This window comes from Homo sapiens, chromosome 2, assembly GCF_000001405.40.
Source record: "Homo sapiens chromosome 2, GRCh38.p14 Primary Assembly".
Classification (NCBI taxonomy): domain Eukaryota; kingdom Metazoa; phylum Chordata; class Mammalia; order Primates; family Hominidae; genus Homo; species Homo sapiens.
In genome coordinates, this window is record NC_000002.12 from 29,161,197 (window position 1) to 29,185,311 (window position 24,115).

A 24,115-nucleotide genomic window follows, 5' to 3' on the forward strand; every position below is an offset into this window, starting at 1 on the left:
CTCCCAAACTCAGGTGATCTGCCCGCCTTGGCCTCCCAAAGTGCTGGGATTACAGGTGTGAGCCACCGTGCCCAGCCAGATTGCTTTCTTTTGTGTTGTCAATGATTATAATTTTAAACAGAAGTCGGTTGAACAAAACCAAGTTTGTATGTTTAGATAGCAATATGCTATTTTAACACATGGTGGCATTGCAGCATTTTAGGAAAAGGTTATCTAGAACATTGATTAAAAAAAAAAAAGTTTGTAGCATTTAGCCAAGAACTATGAGGGATCTGAGATTTTACCCTATTTGCAAGCTAACAAATTCGCCTGCCACAGTTTCATAGATGTTGGTGGAAGATACTGTGAGTACTAGAGTCATCACAGGTTTGAGACAAAGCACTCTAGTACTCACAGTCATAGCAGTAGCCAGAGTATCAGCATTTTCTTGAACTATTATTCCCTTAGTGCCAATTCCCACAGGGTGAGAGCGAGCGAGCCAGGTGTCACCTGCACAGCCAGTGTTTTTTGTTCCAGGAGAGGACCCTAGAGCTTAGGGAATCTGAATCTTTGAACTTATGGTACACATCCCTGCCATTTGCTCTGGTGGGAGATGCTAGCTCTATCCTCCAAGGCTGTCCCCTATACAGATGTTTATGAAAAGGTAGTCTAGAACGAAAGTAGTCACTGCCTCTACCCATAAGACATGCGGAAACATGACAGGACCATAGGCGACTGTCTCCCAACACAGTCTTGTTTCACTAATACCACTTATAATTGCAAGCCAACTGCGTGATTTGAGTTAGGTGTTTTATAATTCATGACTTTCTTAGGTCTCCAGGTAGTAATTGAGATTAGTTAGGATATACTTAATATAGGATTCAAATAAAAACTTAACCGCACAGGTAGGTTATTTTTTTACAATTACTATTTGTCTTTTGAGTTCCCTTTCTCTGATGTTATTAAACCAAGATAGAATGGTTTGATTCTTTGGATATAATTCTTCATTTTAGGTTGATTTCAGTTTTTAAATTCCTAATGTAAAGCATTTAGAAATTTGGGAAGTAGTAAGCAAATATAATAAAAAGTGGAAACTTTTTTGTTAAAAACATTCTGTCCTGTAAGGAAGTAGTAGCATTAAAAATTAATCACTGCTACAGAACAGTGGTAATATCTTAAGTATTTGGAGGTTATAAGATCTAGATTTGAGGGAGGTCATATTTGGTCTCATCAGCATTTTTTATCAGTGCCACCTTGGAAAGAAAATTAACATTTAAATGGGAAGATATCCATACCACACCACTGCCAAAGTGTAGTCTTTATTGTTAACACTTGTCATATGTATTTCTGCTGTATGCTACATGTTTCCAAGAGTTACATGGTTAACATTAGCAATTATATGGTAAATTAAAATGGGAAAATGCAAAAATTATATAGGAAAGCATAAAAGGCAGAAGCAAGTAAAACTTGGAAAATTGTAACTGTAGCACTGAGAAATAACAGTGGCAACCAGACTAACCTGGTTTAGGACATGTGGAAATGTGATGACCTATGTTCAGAGCGTTAGTGCAGCTTAACAATAGTTTTGTAACATTACTTGTATTACATAGTAGGAAATGGACTCAGGTATCATCTTTTTATACATAGAGGAAAAAAATTAAGAACTTGTGAGTTGGTTTTTTAGAAGGCATATAATTAACTCTTTGAACTAGTAATCTGGAAGAAACACTATTTTTGTAATTTGTAATAAGTTTCTTGATATCTATCTCCTGTTTTTTTACTTGATACTGATTATAAGAGACCAAATCCAATTACTACTGTACACTCCTTTTAAATCACAAGTAAATGGACTACTAGATACTTCTAATTGGTCTTGAGGCACCCTCAATTAGAAAATCCTTATTTTAGGATTTTGTGTCCATTTACCTTATATTGGGTAAAACCACATTTAAAGCAACCTTGCTACTTTAATTTTAGGCTGTCTAGAAAAGGAAATCCTGTTATTTCCTTCAGAGTAGGTCCTTTTAAATACAAAAAGTCTTTAAAATAATTCTCCCTATTAGCTAACCTAAACCTTTTCATTTAGGTAAAAAAAAAAAGATTTTTCTTTTTACCTTGGGTGGAAAAAAGAAAAGAAAAAGCACTCATCATGATGTCTAGTGGTATTTTCTATAATATTTTTGTCCTTCTTTAATTATTTGAGCACTGTTTGTGGTGTTCTAATGTTAGGTGAGTAAGATGAAAAGATTGCATGTTCATTTTATGATTTTTAAATCTCAATATTATGTTTCACTTCTTTCACTGAAACACTATATTACCAAGTCAAGAACAGTTTTTCACTGCAGCTTTTAGATATATTTTGGTCATATACTGTTTACACAATTGCCAATTCTTGCCAAATTTGTGTTTGTGCATTTTATTTTCCTCCTTTAATGTACTGCTCTGCAATTATGCTTGTAAAATGTTTTTCCTGTTCACTTTTTGAATTTTCAAAGTTTACAATTTTATAATTTGAAATCTTAATGAGTATCATGATCTTCCCTCATTTTGGTCATTTATGGAAATGTTAAAACACCTCGACTTTGGTTTTGTATAGTAGCATAAGAGTTTTGGATAAAGTACAGATGCTTTTGAAATGCAATATTCATGTTCTAGGATATTGGTATGGTATAGAGCTTGAAAAACCCCATGGCAAGAATGATGGTTCAGTTGGAGGTGTGCAGTATTTTAGCTGTTCTCCAAGATATGGAATATTTGCTCCCCCATCCAGGGTGCAAAGGTGAGAGAATGAAATTTATGTTTATTTACAGAAACTTTTTGTAATCTGCAGTGGTTAATAGAGACACTAATTTTATATTAAAGATATGCTCTGATTGTAGCTCATGTCTTCTTTCAAGGGGTTAACCAACCACCTTCTTCAGAGAGAAGGCTCATGGAAAGCTAAATTTGCTTTGCTGAGGATTTGCAATTTTAAAAACCTCCTTTATTCCTCATTTGCAAACCCTATGAGTATGTGTAGGCTATTAGAAGTGGCGTTTGCAGCTAAGTACAGTGAGAGCAGCAAGCTTAATCTGTCATGCAAACAAAAGTAAAAATGCTCTCTGATTGCTTCAGTCACATCCTAACTACATTAAATTTCCTGCCAGCAGGCACCCCATTCATTCTCCTACAAACCTAATGGAACCAAAATGGCTTTTTCCTCTGATTTCTTTAGTTTTCAAAAATAGATAGGCAGTAGATCTTTGGGGGAAGTGAAACTTCAAGGATTTTTATATAATATATCTCCTTGGTGTTTCTTCTTAAGATAGTATCTTTCATACCACCTCATCCGGTTTTAAAAAATAAGTTGAGCAGAAACAAAGTCCTCATAAAATTCCAGGTATCATTATGTGAAATGGCTTCTCTTATGCTCTGGAAGAAGCTGCTTGGTGTGCCTTTTAGCGGATGGGAAATGGGATACTAATCTTTAAATGAGAGATAACATATATGGCATAATCACATTCATGAGACTAGACCTACGATCGCAATCTGGGAGTCTTGTCTAGTTTTCCCTTACAACTAGACTGTTGTGACTATCTCCTGGCAGATTGAAGTTTTACATCCATTTCTCCCTCAATTTCTTTTTCTGAGTGAATCATTACATATTTGTTTAGTATTAATTTCCTTCTATGATATACTTGACATAATTTTCTTCATATTTATGGTGATAACAGAATTTAACATACAATACTTTGTAGTTTATAAAGTATTTTCACTTAAGTGTTGTTTCATTTGATCCTAATATTGATCAGGTAAGCTGGAGAATAATAACTATTACAAACATTTGTTGAGCATTTAGTGAGTGGGTGGGCTCTGTACAGTGTGCTTTAGATGCATACCTCATTAATTCCCCCAGACCCTGCGAGCTGTAAGTTATTAGGATCATTCCCATTTTGCAGATGAAGAAACGGGTTTCAAAGAGATAAGTGATTTAGCTAAAGTCATACAGCTAATTAGCCAAGGAGCTGGACTCAGCCCAGGTGTGTTACTTTGTAATTGTTTTTTCTGTAAGCCCTTGCTTTTAGATGGTTTGTTCTTTCTTTCTTTCTTTTTTTTTTGTATTTGTTTTATAAATGAAGAAAAGGAAGCAGTAACTACGAATAGTGCTTATACATGCTGGGGTCTGTTTGCAGGGCCCTTCATGTATTAACCTGTTTACTGCTCTCCAGTAACCCTGTGGTGCAGGCACCATGTTCCCTCAATGAGGAAAGTAAGTCACAAGGGGTGACATGTGCTGTGCTCCCAGCTGGGGATTTGAACCCAGGTAGTCTAGTATCAGCATGTGTGCCCTTAACCGTAACCCTATAACGGTTAGAAGAGCTTCAGGGACCTTCGTCAGGACATACATCTTGTAAATAATTGGTTTGGGAGTAAAATGCATGCTGAGTCACCAGTGAATCTTCTGTGTTCTCATGTTACTTTGGGCATATCTTCATCAAAACATTGCAGCAGTCTCTTACAAGTTTTGTTTGTTTCCTAGTCATGAGGACTGGGATTCTGCTTTTCATGTTTGATTACTCAGAGTACATAGTTTGGCATATTTTAGGCACGGTAAATATTGATCCAATCTGATTCCTAGTTCAGTGGTTTTATGCTGTAACAGCTTTTTCCTCCTCCTTTACGTTGTCAAGCCACTTTCTCATGGTTTCATCTTTTCCTTCTTGCTTTGTTTCTGGAGCACACGTTTTTTACTTTTTTTTGATTGCCTTCTATTTGGTTTTCTTTAAGGTGGTGCATTTAAAAAGCAGCCCCCTCTTCTTCAAAAAAAAAAAAATAGGGCTGTCTCTAAATGAACTGCTATCTCAATCCAGCTGTCTTCCTGTCATCTTCTGATTGTCTCATTCATCATCATCAAATACTATTAAGTGTCTTTTAGCACTTATGCTGTGCTAGGCATTCTATAAGCGAATAAAACAGACATGGTCCCTGATTTTGAGGCGTTTCTAATCTGAACCAGCTTTGGAACTCTTGAAAGATACCACTGATCTTCAAGATGGAAGAATTTTAAACTAGGGACTGCTTGAGGACAGTCTTAATAAGGTAGTGTCCAGTCACAATCACACCTTGCATCTTCTTCCTTCTCAGGACTATGGCTGGCCTTTCCCCCCACCCCTTTCTGTTTGTAAAATGTGCTTCCTATCCCAGAATCTTTGCACATGTTATTTTTTCTGCTTGGATGGCTTTCTACACCCGCCTACTATTGCCTAACTTTCACTTATTTAATACCTTTCTTCTGCTAATATATGAATCAGTCAAAACTTCTTTAGAGAAACTCTAGGAAAACTCACTGACTAGGTTAATCACATACACACACAGACACACACACACACACACACACACACACACACTGCTCAAGTAATCTTCATTAGCATAATATTCACTTTCTTAGTTCTTACTATTATTAGGCACTTACTACTAATGAACTGATTACTTCTAGAATTCACTCCCTCTCAACTGTCTGTTACTACTTCATTCAAATATCCATTCTCTTCATAAAATCATATTCTTTGTGTCCATCAGTCTCTCATTGCAGTATGTTGTATATCATGTAAAAATGATGCCTATGAATTGTAATGTGAAATTGCAAATATTTCAAGAGTTGAAGGATTTCTTGATGGTAATAAGATATGCTGGAGGAAGTGATTGACAAATGAAGGCTTTCCAGATTTAGGTCACTAAACAGTTGAAAGAAAATGAGCCTGTCAGGATTGACTTTTTAAAGATAAAGAATGATTTGAATATCAAAAAATGCAGGAAAATCCACTGGGAAAGTGACCTTTATAATTGTGGCTTAGAGTCAAGTATAAAGTAAAAGATGTTGAATTGTATTAGCCATATAGTTTTACCAGAAAAATCACTCACACAAACTCAGCCAATATCTTTTTCTTTCAGCTTAAGAATTAGTGCCTTTTTCACAATATTAATCTAACATTTGTTAAGTTTAATATAAAATAAACTTATTTTCATATTTTTTAGTTTCACCTTTGAAGATGAGGTTACAAAGAAATTCAGGTCCATATTTTAGGTGAATTCACTTGAATTTTTTTCTACACTAATTATCTTTAGATAGTGAGAACCTCTTCTATTTAATTATTGTTTTTCTTCCATGCCAGATGGAAGTTCATTCCTGGCTTAAAATGGACCCTCCATAAATATTTGTCTGATGAATGACTACAATTGGTGTGAAAAACTTAGTTGATAACCAGTCTTAAACCTGAAGACCAGCTACTTCTAACGAGATGTCCTTTGTTTTATTCATAGAGTAACAGATTCCCTGGATACCCTTTCAGAAATTTCTTCAAATAAACAGAACCATTCTTATCCTGGTAAGACTACACAGTTTTGTGTTCCTAATCAATATTTCTTTGCTTTCATTTATTGAAAAATTTTTATTATGAGGTATTGTATACAAAAGGGTCTATAAACTGTATTTGTATAGTTTTTGTAATAATAGAACAAACATCTGTTACCTGTCCCCTGGCTGAAGAAGATGATAACCTGACCTGTAGAAACCCCTGAGTACCCCATCCCATCTCATCTGCCTTGCTCTTCATATACCCCATCCTCAGGTGGAGGAGTCTTGAATTGTACATTAATTATTCCCTTGATTCTCTTTATTTTTGTCACCCATATATAGATATATCAATAAATAATATGTGTTCAGTTTTGTTTGTTTGCTATTTTGTTATTTAGCATTCCGTTGAAATATTCATTCCATAATTGATGGTTATTTGGGTTATATCCTGTGTCTTTTCTATTACAAACTATGTTCTTGTGCACACTTGAGGAAGTTTCTCTAGGATTCCCAGGTGTGGGATACCTGCGTCCTCCACCTTCCTAGGTAATGCCTGTCTGTCTGTATTGCATACTCTATCTGCCATGGACCAGAGCCTCTGCTTCTCCTCACCTCATTAGTACTTACCTTGTTTGATTTAGAAGTCTTTGCCTATCTGAAGGGCTTAAATGGTATTTCATTATGGTTTTAATTTGCATTTTCTGGATTACAAATGAGGATGAACCTGTTTTCATGCTTATGGGCCATATGCATTTCCTCTATTATGAAGTACCTGTTCAAGTTTCTTGCCCATTTTCAGAGGGTAGTTTATCTTTTATCTTATTAATTTGTAGGCTTCTTTGTGTATTTTGGGAACATTTTGTCAATTTCATGTGTGGCAAATATCTTGCCGAGGTCATTACTTGTCTTTTAATATTTTTATTTATTGTTTTTGGTGTCTTTAGACTGGCAGAGCTCCTTAATTTTTTGTAGTCAAAATAGCAAAACAGGTTATGGTTTGCCCTTTTTTTTTTTTTTTTTTTTTTTTTTTTTGAGACGAGTCTCTCTCTGTTGCCCAGGCTGGAGTGCAGTGGTGCGATCTTGGCTCACCGCAAGCTCCGCCTCCCAGGTTCACACCATTCTCCTGCCTCAGCCTCCCAAGTAGCTGGCACTACAAGCACCTGCCACCACGCCCGGCTAATTTTTTGTATTTTTAGTAGAGACGGGGTTTCATCGTGTTAGCCAGGATGGTCTCCATCTCCTGACCTCATGATCCGCCTGCCTTGGCCTCCCAAAGTGCTGGGATTACAGGTGTGAGCCACCACGCCCAGCCTGCACTTTTTGTTTTAAGAAATCTTTTCTTAAAATTGAAATTATGAAGATATTTTCTTATATTGTTTTCTAAAAGATTTATATTTTTGTGTTTCCCATGTGTCAGTTTACTCAGAATTGATTTTGTGTATGGTAAGTATCTAATTTCTTTTTTTTTTTTGCATGGATAACCATCTATGAAAAAATGATTTGTATGATACCAATCCTTAAATAATTGTTGAGATTAATTTTATGGCCCACCCTAATAGGTGTGTTGTTTTAATTTGAAATTCCCTAGTGTTTTAATTTGGAATTTTCTAAGGATGTTTGATGATGTATTAGTTGCTAGGGATGCTGTGACAAAGTACCACAGACTGGGTGGTTGAAACACAGAAATTTATTTTCTCACAATTTCGGAGGCTCTAGAAGTCTGAGATCAAGGTGTTGGCAGGTTTGGTTTATTCTAAGGCCTTTCTCTATGGCTTGTAGATGGCCTTCTATCTCTGGTGTTTTCATGCGGTCTTTTTCACTGTGTGTGTGTGTGTGTGTGTGTGTGTGTGTGTGTGTGTGTGTGTGTCCCACTCTCCTCATAAAGACACTAGTCATGTTGGATTAGAGCCTATCCATGTGACCTCATTTAACTTAATTACTTCCAATTACATATGACCTCATTTTACCATAATTATCTCCAAATATAGTCACATTCTGAAATGCCAGGAGGTTAGGACTTCAGCATATGAGTTTTTGGGGTGCAAAATTCAGCCTGTAACAGATGCTGACTGTCTTTTCATATATTTATTTGCCATCTCTTTTTTGTATTTTTTATTGACGTAGTTGTACATATTTTTGGGGTACATGTGATAATTTGATGCACGTATACAATGTGTAATCATTAAGTCAGGGTAATTGGGATATCTATCACCTCAAACATCGATCTTTTCTTTGTGTTGGGAATGTTATAATTCTTCTCTCCTAGCTATTTTTAAATATACTTAAATATACAATGTTGTTACCCGTAATTTTCCCCCTGTGCTATTGAATACTAGAACTTATCCCTTCTATTTAACTGCATGTTTGTGCCCATTAGCCAACCTCTCTTTATCCCCCTTCCCACCCACACACACCTCCCAGCCTTTGAGGCTAATCATTCTACTCTCTACCTTCACAAGATCCACTGTTTTAGCTCCTGCACATGAGTGAGAACGTGTGATATTTGTCTTTCTGTGCCTGGCGTATTTCACTTAACCTCCAGTTCCATCCATGTTGCTGCAAGTGACAGGATTTCCTTCTTTTTATGGTGGAATAATATTCCACTGTATTATGTATATATACTATATTTTCTTTCTCCATTCATCCATTGGTGGACACTTAGGTTGATTCTATATCTTGGCTGTTGGGAATCGTGCTTCAGTAAACATGAGAGTGCAGCTATCTCTTCAATGTACTGATTTCCTTTCTTTTGGATATATACCAGCAGTGGAATTGCTGGATTATATGATAGTTCTATTTTTAGTTTTTTGAAGAAACTCCATCCTGTTTTTCCATGATGGCTGTAACTACTGCCTATTCCCAACAGCATACAACAGTGTCCCAATAACAGTGTGCTGTATCTTCTTTGATGATGTGCCTGTTCACATCTTCTGCTCATTTTAAAATTCTGTTTGCTATTTTCTTGTTGTTCTTTGTATATTTTGAATACCAAACATGTATCAGACATGTGTTTTGCAACTATTTCCCCCAGTCTGTGACTTGTCTTTTCATTCTCTTAACAGTGTATTTCACAGAGCAGAAGCTTTTAGTTTTAATGAAGTCCGAGTTATCAGTTTTTTATTTTGTGAATTGTGCTTTGGTGTTTTATCTAAAAGTCATCATCAAACCCAAGATCACTCTGATTTTTGTCCTGTGTTATCTTCTAGGAGTTTTATAGTTTTGTGTCTTATAAGATCTATGATCCATTTTGAGTTAATTTTTGGGTAAGATGTGAGGGTCTGTGTCTAGATTTTTTTTTTTCACATGTGAATGTCCAGTTGTTCGAGTATTAGGTGTTGAAAAGACTGTCTTTTTTCCATTGAATTGCCTTTGCTCTTTTTTCAAAGATCAGTTGACTAATTTATATTGGGCTATTTCTGGGCTCTCCGTTCTGTTTCATTGATCTATTTGTCTCATCTTTTGCCAGTACCACACTGTCTTGATTACTGTAGCTTTATAGTAATTCTTCAGGTTGAGTAGTGTCAATCCTCTGGTTTTGATCTGCTTCTTCAATGTTGTGTTGGTTATTCTAGGCCTTTCACCTGTGTATATAAACTTCATAATCAGTTTGTCAATATCCATAAAATAACTTGCTGGGATTTTAATTGGGATTGCATTGACTATATAGATCAAGTTGGGAAGAACTGACATGTTAATATTTAGTCTTTTTACCTATAAACATGGACTATCTCTCCATTTATTTATATCTTCTTTGATTTCTTCCATCAGAGTTTTATAGTTTTCCTCATAGAGACTTTGTACATGTTTTGTTAGATTTATACCTATGTATTTAATTGTTTGGCATTAATGTAAGTGGTGTTGCTTTCATAATAATATATATTTTTTTACCTTATACCAACTTTCTTTTGGTTAAGTATTTGCCGAATATATCTTTTTCTGTCCATTGACTTGTAACCTTTCTATGTTCTTATGTTTTTAGAATATTTCTATATGGCATATAGTTAGGTTTTCCTTTTTTTTTTTTTTTGAGACGGAGTCTTGCTCTGTCGCCCAGGCTGGAGTGCAGTGGCACGATCTTGGCTCACTGCAAACTCCATCTCCCGGGTTCACGCCATCCTCCTGCCTCAGCCTCCCGAGTAGCTGGGACTACAGGCACCCACCACCACGCCCGGCTAATATTTTGTATTTTTAGTAGAGACGGGTTTTCACTATGTTAGCCAGGGTGGTCTTGATCTCCTGACCTTGTGATCTGCCCGCCTCGGCCTCCCAAAGTGCTGGGATTACAGGCGTGAGCCACCGCGCCTGGCCTAGGTTTTACTTTTTTAAAAAAATCTGACAATCTTTCTTTTAACCTGAGAGTCTTACTCATTTGCATTTATTGTAATTACTGATATACACTGATGATATTTTTGTTATTTTATTTGTTTTCTATTCACTTTTTTGTACTTAATAAGTGATTTTTATTTCTTGACTTTATTCTGGCTATATTCCCACCCTCTGTTTTTTTTTTTTTTTCATTCTGTTTACTGCCTCTACTTGTGTAGAAGTTATAGTCTATGAATATGCTTCTTAGTAATTACTGTAGATAATTTAACATTGATACTTGGCAAAATCTAAAGTTAATGATTTTTATCCTTTCTCAATAATAGAAAATCATTAGAAACTGAGTTGTCCAGTCTGTATTTTATTTCTCCTATAAATTTGATATTATTGTAATAGTTTTATATTGTAATGTTACTCTCATATTTCCCAGTGTCTTTACTCATTAACCCTCAGAATTTGTACTTGGGATCATTTTTAAAATTTCATGTATATAAAATTTCTTTTAGAAAGGGTCTGTTGGGTAACAAACTCTTTGTTTTTGTCTTTTCCAATGATAACTTTACTGGGTGTAGAATTTTAGGTTTAAAGATATTTTCCCCCTGCATATTGACAGTATCGTTGTGCTGTTTTTGGCTTCTGTCATTGTTGATGAGACGTCACCTGTGAGTCTAACTAATTCATATTATTGTTTCACTATCATGTCTAGGTAGAGATTTCTTTTTGTTTATCCTGTTTATCCTTTTTGTTTGGCATTACGGATTTTTCTGTATCTGGGAGTTGATCAATTCTTTACAATTCTTATTTATTATAATTAAAATAGTTTCTCCTTTATTATTTTTCTTAGCTCCTTCTGAAAGTCTGTTTAGTAGTATGTTGGACCTTCTCATTTTCTTTCCCATGCGCTCTCATATTTCTCACAACTTGTCACTCTAGACTATATTTTGGATATCTTTAGACCCATCATTCTGTTTCTTGATTCTCTCTTCAGCTATGTTTATTCTGCTGCTTAATCCGGCCATAAAGTTGTAAAATTATAAAAATTGTCTTTTTTTCTTTTTTCAAATCTGCTTGCAAGTTACCATTGCAATTCTTTCCCCATATTTTCAAATTTTTCTTTTATGTCTTTAAATATTTAAAGTATTATCTTTTATTTTGTGTTAAATAATTCAGTATCTAAAGCCTTTGTGAGTCTGATTCTGCCATCTGTTTCTGTTGAGACTAACTTATGGTTTGCCTTCTTTCCTTGTGAGATGCTTGTTTTGCTCAGAATTTTATATATAAAAATTCTTTGAGGCCTGGGTTGATGCTTCCAGAGAAGATTGTGTCTACCTGTGCCAGTTGCCTGGAGGCATTGCCAACCTGGGACTTTAATTTATAGTCTCTGCAACATATTTTTGTATTACAAGATAACATGAATTTCATTCATGGTAACAAATTCTGAGGGGAGAAAATTTTGTCTCCTACTGAGGATTAAGGTTGACATAAGTGACTTTCCTTTGTCTTCATCTGAACGGTGTTTCGTTTTGTTTCTCATTTCACCTTGCACTGAGAGTGAGCTGTTGGGGATCCTCGCTTTAACCAAGAATCTTTTGTGAGAATCTCCATTTGGAGGCCCTGGGCTTTATTTTCTTCCCTGTCTCCTGTGCAGCCAGTAAGGTGAAAGCCCAGGTTCTCTGGAATTCAGCGGAAAGCCTGCTGGTATAAGATGGTCAATTACTTTGGTGCTTGGAGGCCTCTGATGGTTTCCCTTTTTTGTTTTTAGCCACTTTGAAATTGTGCCTTTTGTGTCAGCTCGATAGTATTTTTTAAAAATTATAGTTTTAAACTAAAATTGTGTCAATCAAAAGATTCATTCAGCACGTCTGGTCTGCCATAACTGGCCAGGCTGGAAATCTTGTTTCTTTTTAATAACATCTTTTTAAAAATTTACCTCTTGTGAAGTGTTTTTATTTCTGTTGTATTATTTGGAGAGGCCAACAATCAAAAGCTCTGAAGTTAATTGTTCAATGTTTTATAAATGATTGTATCTTTTAAACCATTTTATCTTTTTCTTTTTTATATGATTATCAAGATTATCATATTTGACAGTAAAAATAATCAGCTTTATAAATGTGTAATTCAATTTTATTTGATTTTTAAGAAATCTTATAATGAAATTCTCCAAAAGTAATGTCATGCTCTTCACTTATTCATCTATGTGTATAGTTTGATCATGAAAGTAAAGATGAAAATTTGTTAAGAAATCTAAACTACCGTTATATTCTGTATACTTACCTTCTCTGCTTTCTTTTCTTTTTTTTTAATGAGATAGGATCTCACTCTATTGCCCAGGCTGGTCTTGAACTCCTAAGTTCAAGCAGTCTTCCCACTAGGCCTCCCAAAGTGCTGGGATTACAGGTGTGAGCCACCATGCCAGCCTGCTGTTTTGAAAGAAACATTTAATATAATAGAACATCTACAGAAGAAGTGATAAAATATCATTTTAAATAAGGACTGAAAGCTTATATTTTTCCTCTGCTAACCCCAACTTTCATATTTAGGTTTTAGGAGAAGTTTTAGCACAACTTCTGCTTCTTCCCAAAAGGAGATTAACAGAAGAAATGCTTTTTCCAAGTGAGTATTAAGAAGATTTAGAAAAACACCTTTCAAGATGAACATGATGGGATTCTGTGAAGAAAGAAAAGTGGAGTGCTGTATCTTTTGCATTGCTTGGTAGAGTTTTAACACGTAGGAGAAAAGGTGTGATAAGTGTATTGAGAAGCGTTCTTCCTCCCTCCTTTGCAAGCGCAATTAAAAATGTCACCAGTGACTAAAACTAGTGCACTGCATATATTTTATCTTCATAGAGGTCAGAACTGTTAATAAAAGTTAAAGGAATTTACATATTGTCTTTTCATTAAGTAGGGTGGATTGCTTTTAAACTCTCCTTAAGTAATGAGAGATTTGATTTAATATTGTCAGTGATACATGAAAGAAATGTAAGGCGTAATCTTGCAGTTATTTTGAAAAATGCTCCCAATTCCTCTTAAGAGTATAATGCTCAAAAAAGCCTTTTTTTTTGTTTTGTTGCAGAGAGAATGCCCTTTTCTCTTTTTCATTTTTGTTTATCTCCCTGAGACCCACTTCACTACCCCCCATTGGTTTTCTGAAGCATTTTCACTTTAGAGCAATATGAGGCTCTTCCAGACTGATTGGGTTTAGAGGTGCTGCCAGTTAATCTATGAATAATACCCTGGGGGAAAAGGCTTAGCTGCTTAGGGAAGTACACGTGCTTGTTTAAGTAATGGGACCCTAGGAGCCACGAGAAATTAGAGCCCAGAGGCTAGAACTTGATGTCCCACTGTGGATAGGCAGGTCATTTGTTTACCTTCTGGCATGAAGGTATTGGCAAGCTTCACAGAGATCTGAAATTTCATGGGAGAAACCTGGCTCATCCTGAGGACTGTTAGGTACTGTTGAGAGGGTTGGGTGGGGCTGTTTTTCTCCCTTCCTCAAAACCATCACCAATTTTGAGAATTTTGAAGGTCTTCTTGCTTGAGTAGCTGAAGGAGTTTAAGGGCAGTCAGTTTATGCTCCAGTTTATTGAAGATATTCAAGAGTTCTTAGGCAGAATGGAAGAAGCTGCTAAGAAGAAACACCCAGGACATAAAGGATTCTGAAGGGGGAGAGGTGTCCAAATCAGTGTCGAGATGTTGGTGAGTGGAAGAACATGATACAGAGAAGCAAGGGAAGGAGAAAACAATCTGAGCCCTGGGAATTATACAGCAGGTATGGTTATACACAAGACGCTCTGTAGACGTGAGGTGGAAATATCAGTACTTCCCTGTTTTCTCTAAAAATAAAAAAGCTTTAGTAATACTTATACAGGTTAACACTAGTCCCTTAAAAATATACTTTTATTGAGGATAGAGAATAAACTTTTTTCTTTTTTTAATTTTTTTATTTTTGAGACAGAGTCTTGCTCTGTCACCCAGGCTGGAGTGCAGTGGCGTGATCTCGGCTCACTGCAAGCTCCGCCTCCCGGGTTCACGCCATTCTTCTGTCTCAGCCTCCCAAGCAGCTGGGACTACAGGCGCCCGCCACCACACCCGGCTAATTTTTTGTATTTTTAGTAGAGACGGGATTTCACTGTGTTAGCCAGGATGGTCTCGATCTCCTGACATCATGATCTGCCCACCTTGGCCTCCCAAAGTGTTGGGATTACAGGCGTGAGCCACCGCACCCGGCTGAGAATAAACTTTTTAAATTATTAATTTATCTGTTTTTACTCATAAAGTGTGCAACCAAAATGGTGATCATTGTTCTCAGAAACAAAAGAAAGGGTTTCAGGTGCTGGCAGGCACTAGGACATTTGTCCCTGCTCTTAGGGGTGAGGGAGACAGGGCAGTGCTCGATGGCCTTCTGCCAAGGGGCCAGAGTTGATTGTGTGTTGTGCTGTTGTTAACCTGGAGACATGGTGTGTTCTGAGACACGTGTGTTGAGAAAGTATGTTTCTTGAGATTCATCAAACTCTGCTCCATGTCCTTGCTTGTTCGTATGGAAATAAATGATACTTTGAGAAGAAATGTGGATAATCTAGTCAGAGATGATGGACATTCTTGGGTAGAAACTTGAAGGCCTTGGAGGGCACGTTTGGCCCCTGTGAGTGAAAGCAAGCTGGGAGAGGAGAAGGAACAGATTTTTCTCGATCACGTATAGAAATGGTAGTGAGGAATGCGTTTCATCCCGAGGAAGACATGGCAGAAAGGGGGAGGGAAGCAGCTCTGTCTTCAGAACACTGTATGTCCAGTGCCAAGAATGAGCTTGAGATTTTACCATGGTCGTCAGAGGGACCTGATAGGCATGAGGCGTTGATTCTCCTTCACTCTGCGGATGTGTACATCCCGCCTGGGATCTGTCTCCTGTCCTGTTGTTACCAACTCACTTAACTCTTCTCCATGTTACCACCAGGGCCTGCTCAGAAATCCTCACTGGGTCCTGTCTGTAGAATCTGGCTCATTGGCATGGTTTGGTCAGCCCAAATTTGATTGTCTTTAGGCAAAACTGATACCATCCAGTTGGCCACAGGTCTGTCCTCTCACATCATGTGCTTGGGTTTGTTTTCTGCCTGTCCCTTAAAGCTTTCGAATTCTCAAACACAGAATGAAGTCCAGATTTATTGGCCTAGCATTCGAAGACCTACACGATTGGCTCTTGTGTTTCCCTGACTTTTTTTTCATGGCAATATCCTCACAGGTGATTGCAGTTCTCTAAACTGTATGCTTTTCAGGAGTATAAAAAGTAACAAACAGTTTGGCCAGGCACAGTGGCTCATGCCTATAATCTCAACACTTTGGGAGGCTGAGGTGGGAGGATCACTTGAGGTCAGGAGATCGAGATCATCTTGGCCAACATGGTGAAAGCCCCTGTCTGTTAAACTACAAAAAATTAGCCAGGTGTGGTGGCTTGCACCTGTAGTCCCAGCTACTCAGGAGGCTGAGGCAGGGGAATCACTTGAACCTGGGAGGCAGGGGTTTCATTGAGCCAAGATCATGCCACTGCACTCTATCCTGGCAACAGAGTAAGACTCCGTCTCAAAAAAAAAAAAAAAATACAAAAATTAGCTGGGCATGGTGGCAGGCACCTGTAATCCCAGCTACTTGCGATGCTGAGGCAGGAGGATCACTTGAACCTGGGGGGCAGAGGTTGCAGTGAGCCTAGATTGCTCCACTGCATTCCAGCCTGGGTGACAGCAAGACTCTGTTTCAAAAAAAAAAAGTAATATATATATTTTTCTCAGATGACGATCTCTGCGTTTCCTTTTCTGTGTGCCTATCTTTCAAGCTGGCAGAAATGTCATTTCCCCACTAATGTGTCTTTCTTGAGGCTTTAAGGGAGAAGAGACGTCTTCCTCTTAGCTGATTCTGTACTGTATACAGTCTTTATTGTAGTATTTATAACATTTTACTGATTATTATGTACAAATACCTAGAACATAGCCCCATGCCTGCCATTTCATAGGTGGCCAATAAATATTTTTGAATGAGTAAACAGAGCTCTCAAACATACCATAATTCTAAGTGTCTCAATTCTCTGGCTTTTGAGCTTTGACATACCTTGAATCAAATAAATCATTCTTATTAGAACGTTAAGTGTTTACCCAACCCATTAATTTTTGGTTTAGATGTTGAATCCATTATTTACTTGTTTCTTTAAAAGCTTTTTTGTTTATGAAAGTTGTACAATATTTGAAAAATGAAGAAAAACCAAATGCAAAAAGGTCATCTGTAATTTTGTTACCTAGATGAGATTATCACTGTTAGCATTTGGTATACACTTTTCCAATTGTTTTCCTAATGCATGTGTCTGAATTTTTTTTTTTTTTTGAGACAGAGTTTCGCTCTTGTTGCCCAAGCTGGAGTGCAATGGTGTGATCTTGGTCACTGCAACCTCTGCCTCCTGGGTTTAAGTGATTCTCCTGCCTCAGCCTCCTGAGTAGCCAGGATTACAGGCTCATACCACCATGCCTAGCTAATTTTTTGTATTTTTAGTAGAAACGGGGTTTCACCATGTTAGCCAGGCTGGTCTCGAATTCCTGACCTCAGGTGATCCACCTGCCTCAGCCTCCCAAAATTCAGGGATTACAGGTGTGCACCACTGTGCCTGGCCATGTGTCTGAATTTTTAAGCAAAGGGAGATGAATCATATTCCATATGCCCATTTCAAAGCTTTCCCCTGTATATCGTGCTCATATTCCCATATTGTTTAATAGCTTCCTTCAGCGTGACTTTTGCAATGTTTTTAAAGACTGTGCTGTGATACGAAAACATTTTTATGGCACAATAATAAATGAAAAAAATCAGAATTTAACTAGTAATAGATGCCAGACTTCTAAAACATGTATTGAACTCTCCTCTTCCTTACTCCCTTCCCAATACTTCCTATCTCTTTCTCTGCATATATGTGTGTGTGAGTGTGTTTTTCAATATTTATTTATTTATTTGACAGAGTCTTGCTCTGTCGCCCAGGCTGGAGAGCAGTGGCACTATCTCAGCTCACTGAAACCTCTGCCTCCCGAGTTCAAGCGATTATCATGCCTCAGCCTCTCGAGTAGCTGGGATTACAGGCACCTGCCACTGTGCCCTTCTAAGTTTTGTATTTTTTGTACAGCCAGGGTTTCACCATGCTGGCCAGGCTGGTCTGAAACTCCTGGCCTTAAGTGATCTGCCTGCCTCAGCCTCCCCAGGTGCTGGGATTATAGGCATGAGCCACTGCGCCCAGCCTCTTTTTTTCAGTTTATGCATTAAAGGTCTTTATTTGCAGTTTATTTTAATATAGAGGAGTGGTGAGAGTCATATCCTTTTTCTCAGCTAATTTTTACAGCACTCCTGATTCAATGTTCCCTCCTTTTTCACTGCTTTGAAGTTTTACTTTTTAATCACATGTAAAATAATTATGTCTATTTTTCATTTTTCTAGAATATGTTTTCTATGTCATTTAAAACTACATTCTTACGACAGAGCCACATTGTTTTAACTATTTTAACTTTATAATTTAACCTAATGGCGGCGTAAACCTTGCCTCATTATTTTTCAGCCTTTTCTTAATTGCCAGTACCCATTCTGTTTGTGAAGAGAGCCTGGCCTTTGTGCTTATACAGCCATGGATCTGAGCCTCATCTTTGCTCTTTTCATCTCTCTGACCTTAGGCACATAGCTTAGTTTTTCTGAACCTCAGATTCTTCTTCCATTATAAGGAGGTAATAATCCCATCTTCCCTGGTTTGGGTGAGATCGAAAGAGATAACGTATGTGAAGTGTTAGGTACCTAGTAAGTGTTCAGGAAATGATAGCTATTGTCATCATTCCTATGAAAATTACAGTAATTTTGTCAGGTTACAAAAAACATCCATTTGGGGAGAATTAACCTATATACATTTCTCTTTAGTAACAGAGCTCTTCCATGTATGTTCTTCAGTAAAGATGTATGCTTTTTCTTATAGGTATTACATGTTTCTTTATTAAATTTATTATTGTATTTGTGCATTTGACATGTAAATAATTTAAGACTATTTTCTAATTAGAATTCTATCACTTACTGGCAGATGTGGCTTAGAATAAATCTCTGAGCCTCAGTTTTCCTATCCATTAAAATTAGTCATCTTCCTTTCTTATAGAGTGGTTAATAGGAACAAATGAGACATTGTGTGTGACAGTGTATTAAAAATATAGAAAGTGAAATGAAATATGAAATAAGTAAGACCCAGATTCTGTTCACAACAAGATCCTGTGTAGTGTTAGTAACAAGTTCTGTGTTGAATATCCTGTGGGGTAGGGAGAGGGGTTTCTTTTGGAGGAGAGGTGGCATGGGATAGAGGATGGAAGGCACCAGGTAGTTTTGATGGTTTCTTTCTGGCCGTTTTAGAAGGTCTCAGCTCAGGGAGCGACAAGACCCTGGTCATGTTTCTATTGTGGGTGAATATCAGGGTCAAGCTACTTGCAGTGGACAGTGCAGGCAGCTCTGGGGCAATATAGCCTTGAGGCCTTGGATGAGTGCACTGGGGAGTCCCATGCCTCATTATCAGGTTGTGGTGGTGGTGAGTGCTAGGAGACGTTCTTGCACACTGTAAGGAATGTTATGTTGTAGGGAGAAGGAGAGGCAGCTGCTCAAGGCACCTCAGACCCTCGTTAGTGTTAGTGGCTGGGAGGGTGCTAAACCTTTAACCGTAACTGGAGTTCATACATAGAACATACATACATATGTGTATAGATATTTCCAAAGTTGTAGATTTACAGTTTTTAAAATTTGTTTGCATATGAAAAAATATTTTTTAAAGTGAACAAAAAATAATTTAAATTTACTACACTGTCAAAATACTAGATTCTTTTTGCTTTATTTGATAATATTGATAGCAATTAAAACAGCCAAAATACTAGATTCTTTTTGCGTTATTTGATAATACTGGTAGAAATTAATTAGGTATAAGTGTATTTTTTCTAATTGCTATTTTACTGAAAGCATATATATGTATGTGTGTGTGTGTGTGTGTGTACACATGTATATATATATATATGGCAAATGAAATCTTAAATCCAGAATGGGGTAGTCTTAAAATAGCGCAAAAGACAAAAACTTTTAAAATGTTAAACAGAAGTACAGTTGAACTTTGAGTAATGAGTGCAGGGGTTAGGAGTGCCATCCCCTGCTTGCCTGCAACAGTTGAAAATCAGTGTGTAACTTTGGACTCCCCCAAAACTTAACTACTGATAGCCTATTGTTGACTGGAAGCCTTACCTATAACATAAACAGCTGATTAATACATATTTTGTATGTTACATATAGTATGTACTGTATTTTTACTATAAAGAGAAAAAAATGTTAAAGTCATAGGGAAAATATATTTACTATTCCTGAAATAGAAGCGGATCATCATAAAGATCTTCTTCTTCATTGTCCTCACTTTGTGCAGGCTGAGGAGAAGGAGGAAGAGAAGGGGTTGGTCTTGTTGTCCCAGGTGGCGGAGGTGGAAGAAACTTCTGTGTATGCGTGGACCCACGTACTTCAAACCTGTGTAGTTCATGGGTCAACTGTATACTCTAAAACTGCTATTTAAAATTTAAAAATCAAGTTGTGACCATAAAGTATTCTCTTTTGGGAACTGAGTGAATGAATTCTGAATCTGGCAGTGGAAATGAATATGATGCATTGCATTACGTGGCTTCAGCACTAAATAATTTTTCCCACTTTTCCCTTCCGCACAGATCGAAAGCTGCTTTGCGTCGCAGTTGGAGCAGCACCCCCACCGCAGGTGGCATTGAAGGGAGCGTGAAGCTGCACGAGGGGTCTCAGGTCCTGCTCACGAGCTCCAATGAGATGGGTACTGTTAGGTATGTGGGCCCCACTGACTTTGCTTCAGGTATCTGGCTTGGACTTGAGCTCCGAAGCGCCAAGGGAAAAAATGATGGGTCAGTGGGTGACAAGCGCTATTTCACCTGTAAGCCGAACCATGGAGTCTTAGTTCGACCGAGCAGAGTGACCTATCGGGGAATTAATGGGTCAAAACTTGTGGATGAGAATTGTTAAGCTTCTAAAATATTAAATAAGCTCAAATATATATATTTGGTGTAAATAAAGAGTCCATGGTAAATGGTTTACTTTATTTAGCCATATTAAAATTTTGAAAATATAGTTATCTTCTTAAAAACCATTATAACAATTCAGAGAGAGTTCTTTACAAAGCCATGAATATGAACTATGGGGAATCATGGTTCTTTTAAAGCAATTTTCAAAATAAGTACCAATTAAAGCTTTAGGTTCCAAGAAGATTCTGGGACTCAGGAAGAAAAAGTGCCATCAGGTGACCAGCTGTTGCATTTCTTGCTTATTCTGTTTTGTTTTTGCACATCATAATGGATTTTTCTTAGTGCCCTAATTGTGAAGGGTTTCTCTAGCTTTGGTTATGTGTAATGTTCACGTGACCTTTTTTTGTCAATCATTTTTGGAATTTTTCTTTCTTTCTGTGCTTTATTACTAATAAGTCCAATGAGTGAGTAGTAGCTAGATGACTAGTATGTAGTTTTATATTTTGGTAAAATTATTTGCCCTTTCAGAAATGCCTCATCTAAAGATACATGATAATTTTGGAGTTGGAAGGGGCCTTAGAGGCTCTCCAGCTCTGCTTCTTGCCCATTGCCAAATACTGAAATGGAAGCCCGTCTTACCTGGGGTCACTAACTGGTTGGTTAACTGAGCTAAGAATAGACTGTGGGTCTCCTCACTTGTGGCCCAGTGCTCTTTCTGCTATACAAAATGTCTAATCTCAGATTTTTCTTCTGCTGCTTGACTGCTTCATCTGGATGAACTACAAAAAACCCATGATTAAGGTTTATGAATTCAAGTAATAATTAGATTTTTTTTGCACAGACTTACTTAACTTCCTTATTGGATATGTTTGTAACACATAAACACAAAGCACTTTTCAAACATGATGCACTTTTATCTTTGTGAATAATTTACTGTCCTTTCCTCCTGGGATATGAGAAACATTTTAAAAAACGTATTTAACAGAAGAGAGCAAATAAAGATATATCAGGAAGGATGTATTAGTTATTTACTTAAATGTTTATAATATCTGGATTTTTTTTGTTTTGTTACTCATAGAACTGGTGTTGTTTGCTGTTTTTATTTCTCTAATTGTTGCAGAGTTCTGCCTGTTACAAAGCTACAGAACTGTATTGTTTTTATTTTCCTTCTTGAGCACATGTTAACAAACTAAGCTTCACATTAGAGTGATGTCATAATGTAAAATGTTTGCATTGTGGTTAGGTATTGAAGTTTATGTCCTGTCTGTGTAAAGATTCATCTTTTATTGTAAATATTTAGACTTTACCACAGAAATATTGGAACAGTTTGCTTTATAAGATTAAAAAGCATCCTTCAGAATGGAGCTTGCCTTGTGCTTAGAAATAATATGTTGAACTATTTTGCAATATACTATTTTAAATCTAAATTCTGTCACTTCGCTGCCTTTTTAAAATAGTGTGGTATTTCAAATATTGCTAGAGCTATTTTCCTGAAATACATTTGCAAAATAAGGCTGCTTTGTAATCAAGGAATATTTTTATTGATTGAAGGAAATGACTGTACTGCGATTCAAAAGTAAACTTATTTTATTATACAGATTATTTCTTAAAAACTCTATTTATACCTTAACATGAAATCCATGACCACACCAAACTTGGTTATTCATAATTTTTCCTGTTAAATATAAAACACTGTAAGTTAAAAACAGTAATGCCAACATTGAATTTATTTTTGAGGTCAAAGAACCAGTTGTTCTCTTTATATTTAGATGAGGATGATTGAGTCCATATACTATGTATGTTTACATATACTATACATGCACATTAGGTGTTTTCATTTGTGTTTTGCTTATGAAATGTCATTTAAAGTTCACTTCTTGAGCATCAATAAAAAGGGAAGCTGTGTGGTTTTGGAATGGTATCTTGTCATTTACCCTATTTGCAACTCTGCTTTTCTCAGTAACTCAGGGTGCATATGCTTTGAACTTTTTCCTCACGGTAATGGCTTGGATTTGTCCTGTCCCTATAAAGAGTATTAAAAAGTATCATGCTTTCTACTCAACAGTCTATGTTCATAGCCACCATCCTATTAGTATTGTTTTGATGAATAGTGAGTCATTTAAGAAAAGAACGTATTTCTACAGTTGGGATTTCACTTGTTTATTTAGGGTAGGATGGAACACTTTGAATTTAGATTAAAAAATAGAAATAATTAGCTGCCTTTTACTAAAAAACTTTGTTTTTATATTTAGGGTGATTTGGGGGGAATATTTTTAAGTATGTAAGAATGTTGAGTACTGCTGTTTGCTAACTGTGAACTCTGGTGTTGTAATCTTGTTGTGAGTCTCTGGCACCTCCTCCCAAGAGCTCCTTGTTTCCCTCTCATGTTTTATTTTTCTCTTTAGCATTTGGTCATGCTTATTACTGATTACAACTTCTTGCTTATTATTTCTTTCTTCCTTCACGAGATTGAGGAGTGGATTTTTGACTGTTTTGTTCACCACTTTATCCCCAACACCTAGAATAATACTTGGTACCTAGTAGATGCTCGGTTTTGTTGAGTGAACAAAGGCAGTAAAGGCCATTGATTGTTGGAAATAGAGATAGTATCTAGCTAGCTTCACACAAGGGGCCTTGCAAGACTAGGCCACAGAACAGGTAAATTTTCTTAGACACGAAAGGAGGAAGGAGGACAAGAAAAGTTTGAATCCAGGAGCCCAACTTACCCCTGAAGAGTGCCGTGTAAGAGACAACAGATGCTGAGTGGCGCAGCAGTAGGGAATGGGGAGGAAAGACGCAGCAGGACCACCTGGGGCAGCTCCCTTTCCCTTCTGCCTGGGGCTAACTTTGAATTCCTATTTTAATATGATGATAATTTAGAGAATATGGTAATACATGTGGTCTAATATGGAGAGAATGAACTGGATCATACTCAAGTGGGGATAACGTTGATCTCCAGTATTAAATATATATCTCTATCTATCTATATATATATTTTTTGAGGCAGGGCCTCGCTCTGTCACCCAGGCTGTAATGCAGTGGCGGGATCTCGGCTTACTGCAACCTCCGCCTCCTGGGTTCAAGTGATTCTCCTGCCTCAGCCTCCCGAGTAGCTGGGATTACAGGCACCCACCACCATGCCCAGCTAATTTTTTGTATTTTTAGTAGAGATGAAGTTTCACCATGTTGGCCAGGCTAGTCACGAACTCCAGACCTCAGGTGATCCACCTGCCTTGGCCTCCCAAAGTGCTGAGATTACAGGTGTGATCCACCGTGCCTGGCTGTGTTAGATATTTTTATTTCAGAGTTTTATTTTGAGGCTCCCTTTTTAGAATGTGTGATAATATTATTTAAACCACATCAACCAATGGCTAGAAGCCTATTGTGTTAAAATCATTCTTAATTGAGAAATAGTTCTA

At 37.0% G+C, this 24,115-nt stretch overlaps 1 protein-coding gene across 15 annotated transcripts in view; it reads left to right on the forward strand.

Annotated features, from left to right (window-relative positions):
* The window catches only part of CLIP4 (CAP-Gly domain containing linker protein family member 4), an 86,083-nt gene extending 63,471 nt beyond the window's left edge, over positions 1 to 22,612 (forward strand). For 10 of the 15 annotated variants that reach the window (XM_005264562.3, XM_011533110.2, XM_005264563.2 and 7 more), the window contains 4 exons: positions 2,635 to 2,758; positions 6,280 to 6,344; positions 13,177 to 13,249; positions 20,376 to 22,612. In XM_005264562.3, the coding sequence (XP_005264619.1) occupies positions 2,635 to 2,758; positions 6,280 to 6,344; positions 13,177 to 13,249; positions 20,376 to 20,697 (584 nt within the window). In that variant the 3' untranslated portion in view covers positions 20,698 to 22,612. The other 5 variants (NR_109844.2, NM_001287528.2, XM_047445849.1 and 2 more) reach the window with 4 other exon arrangements.
* Positions 22,613 to 24,115: the final 1,503 nt, after the last annotated feature.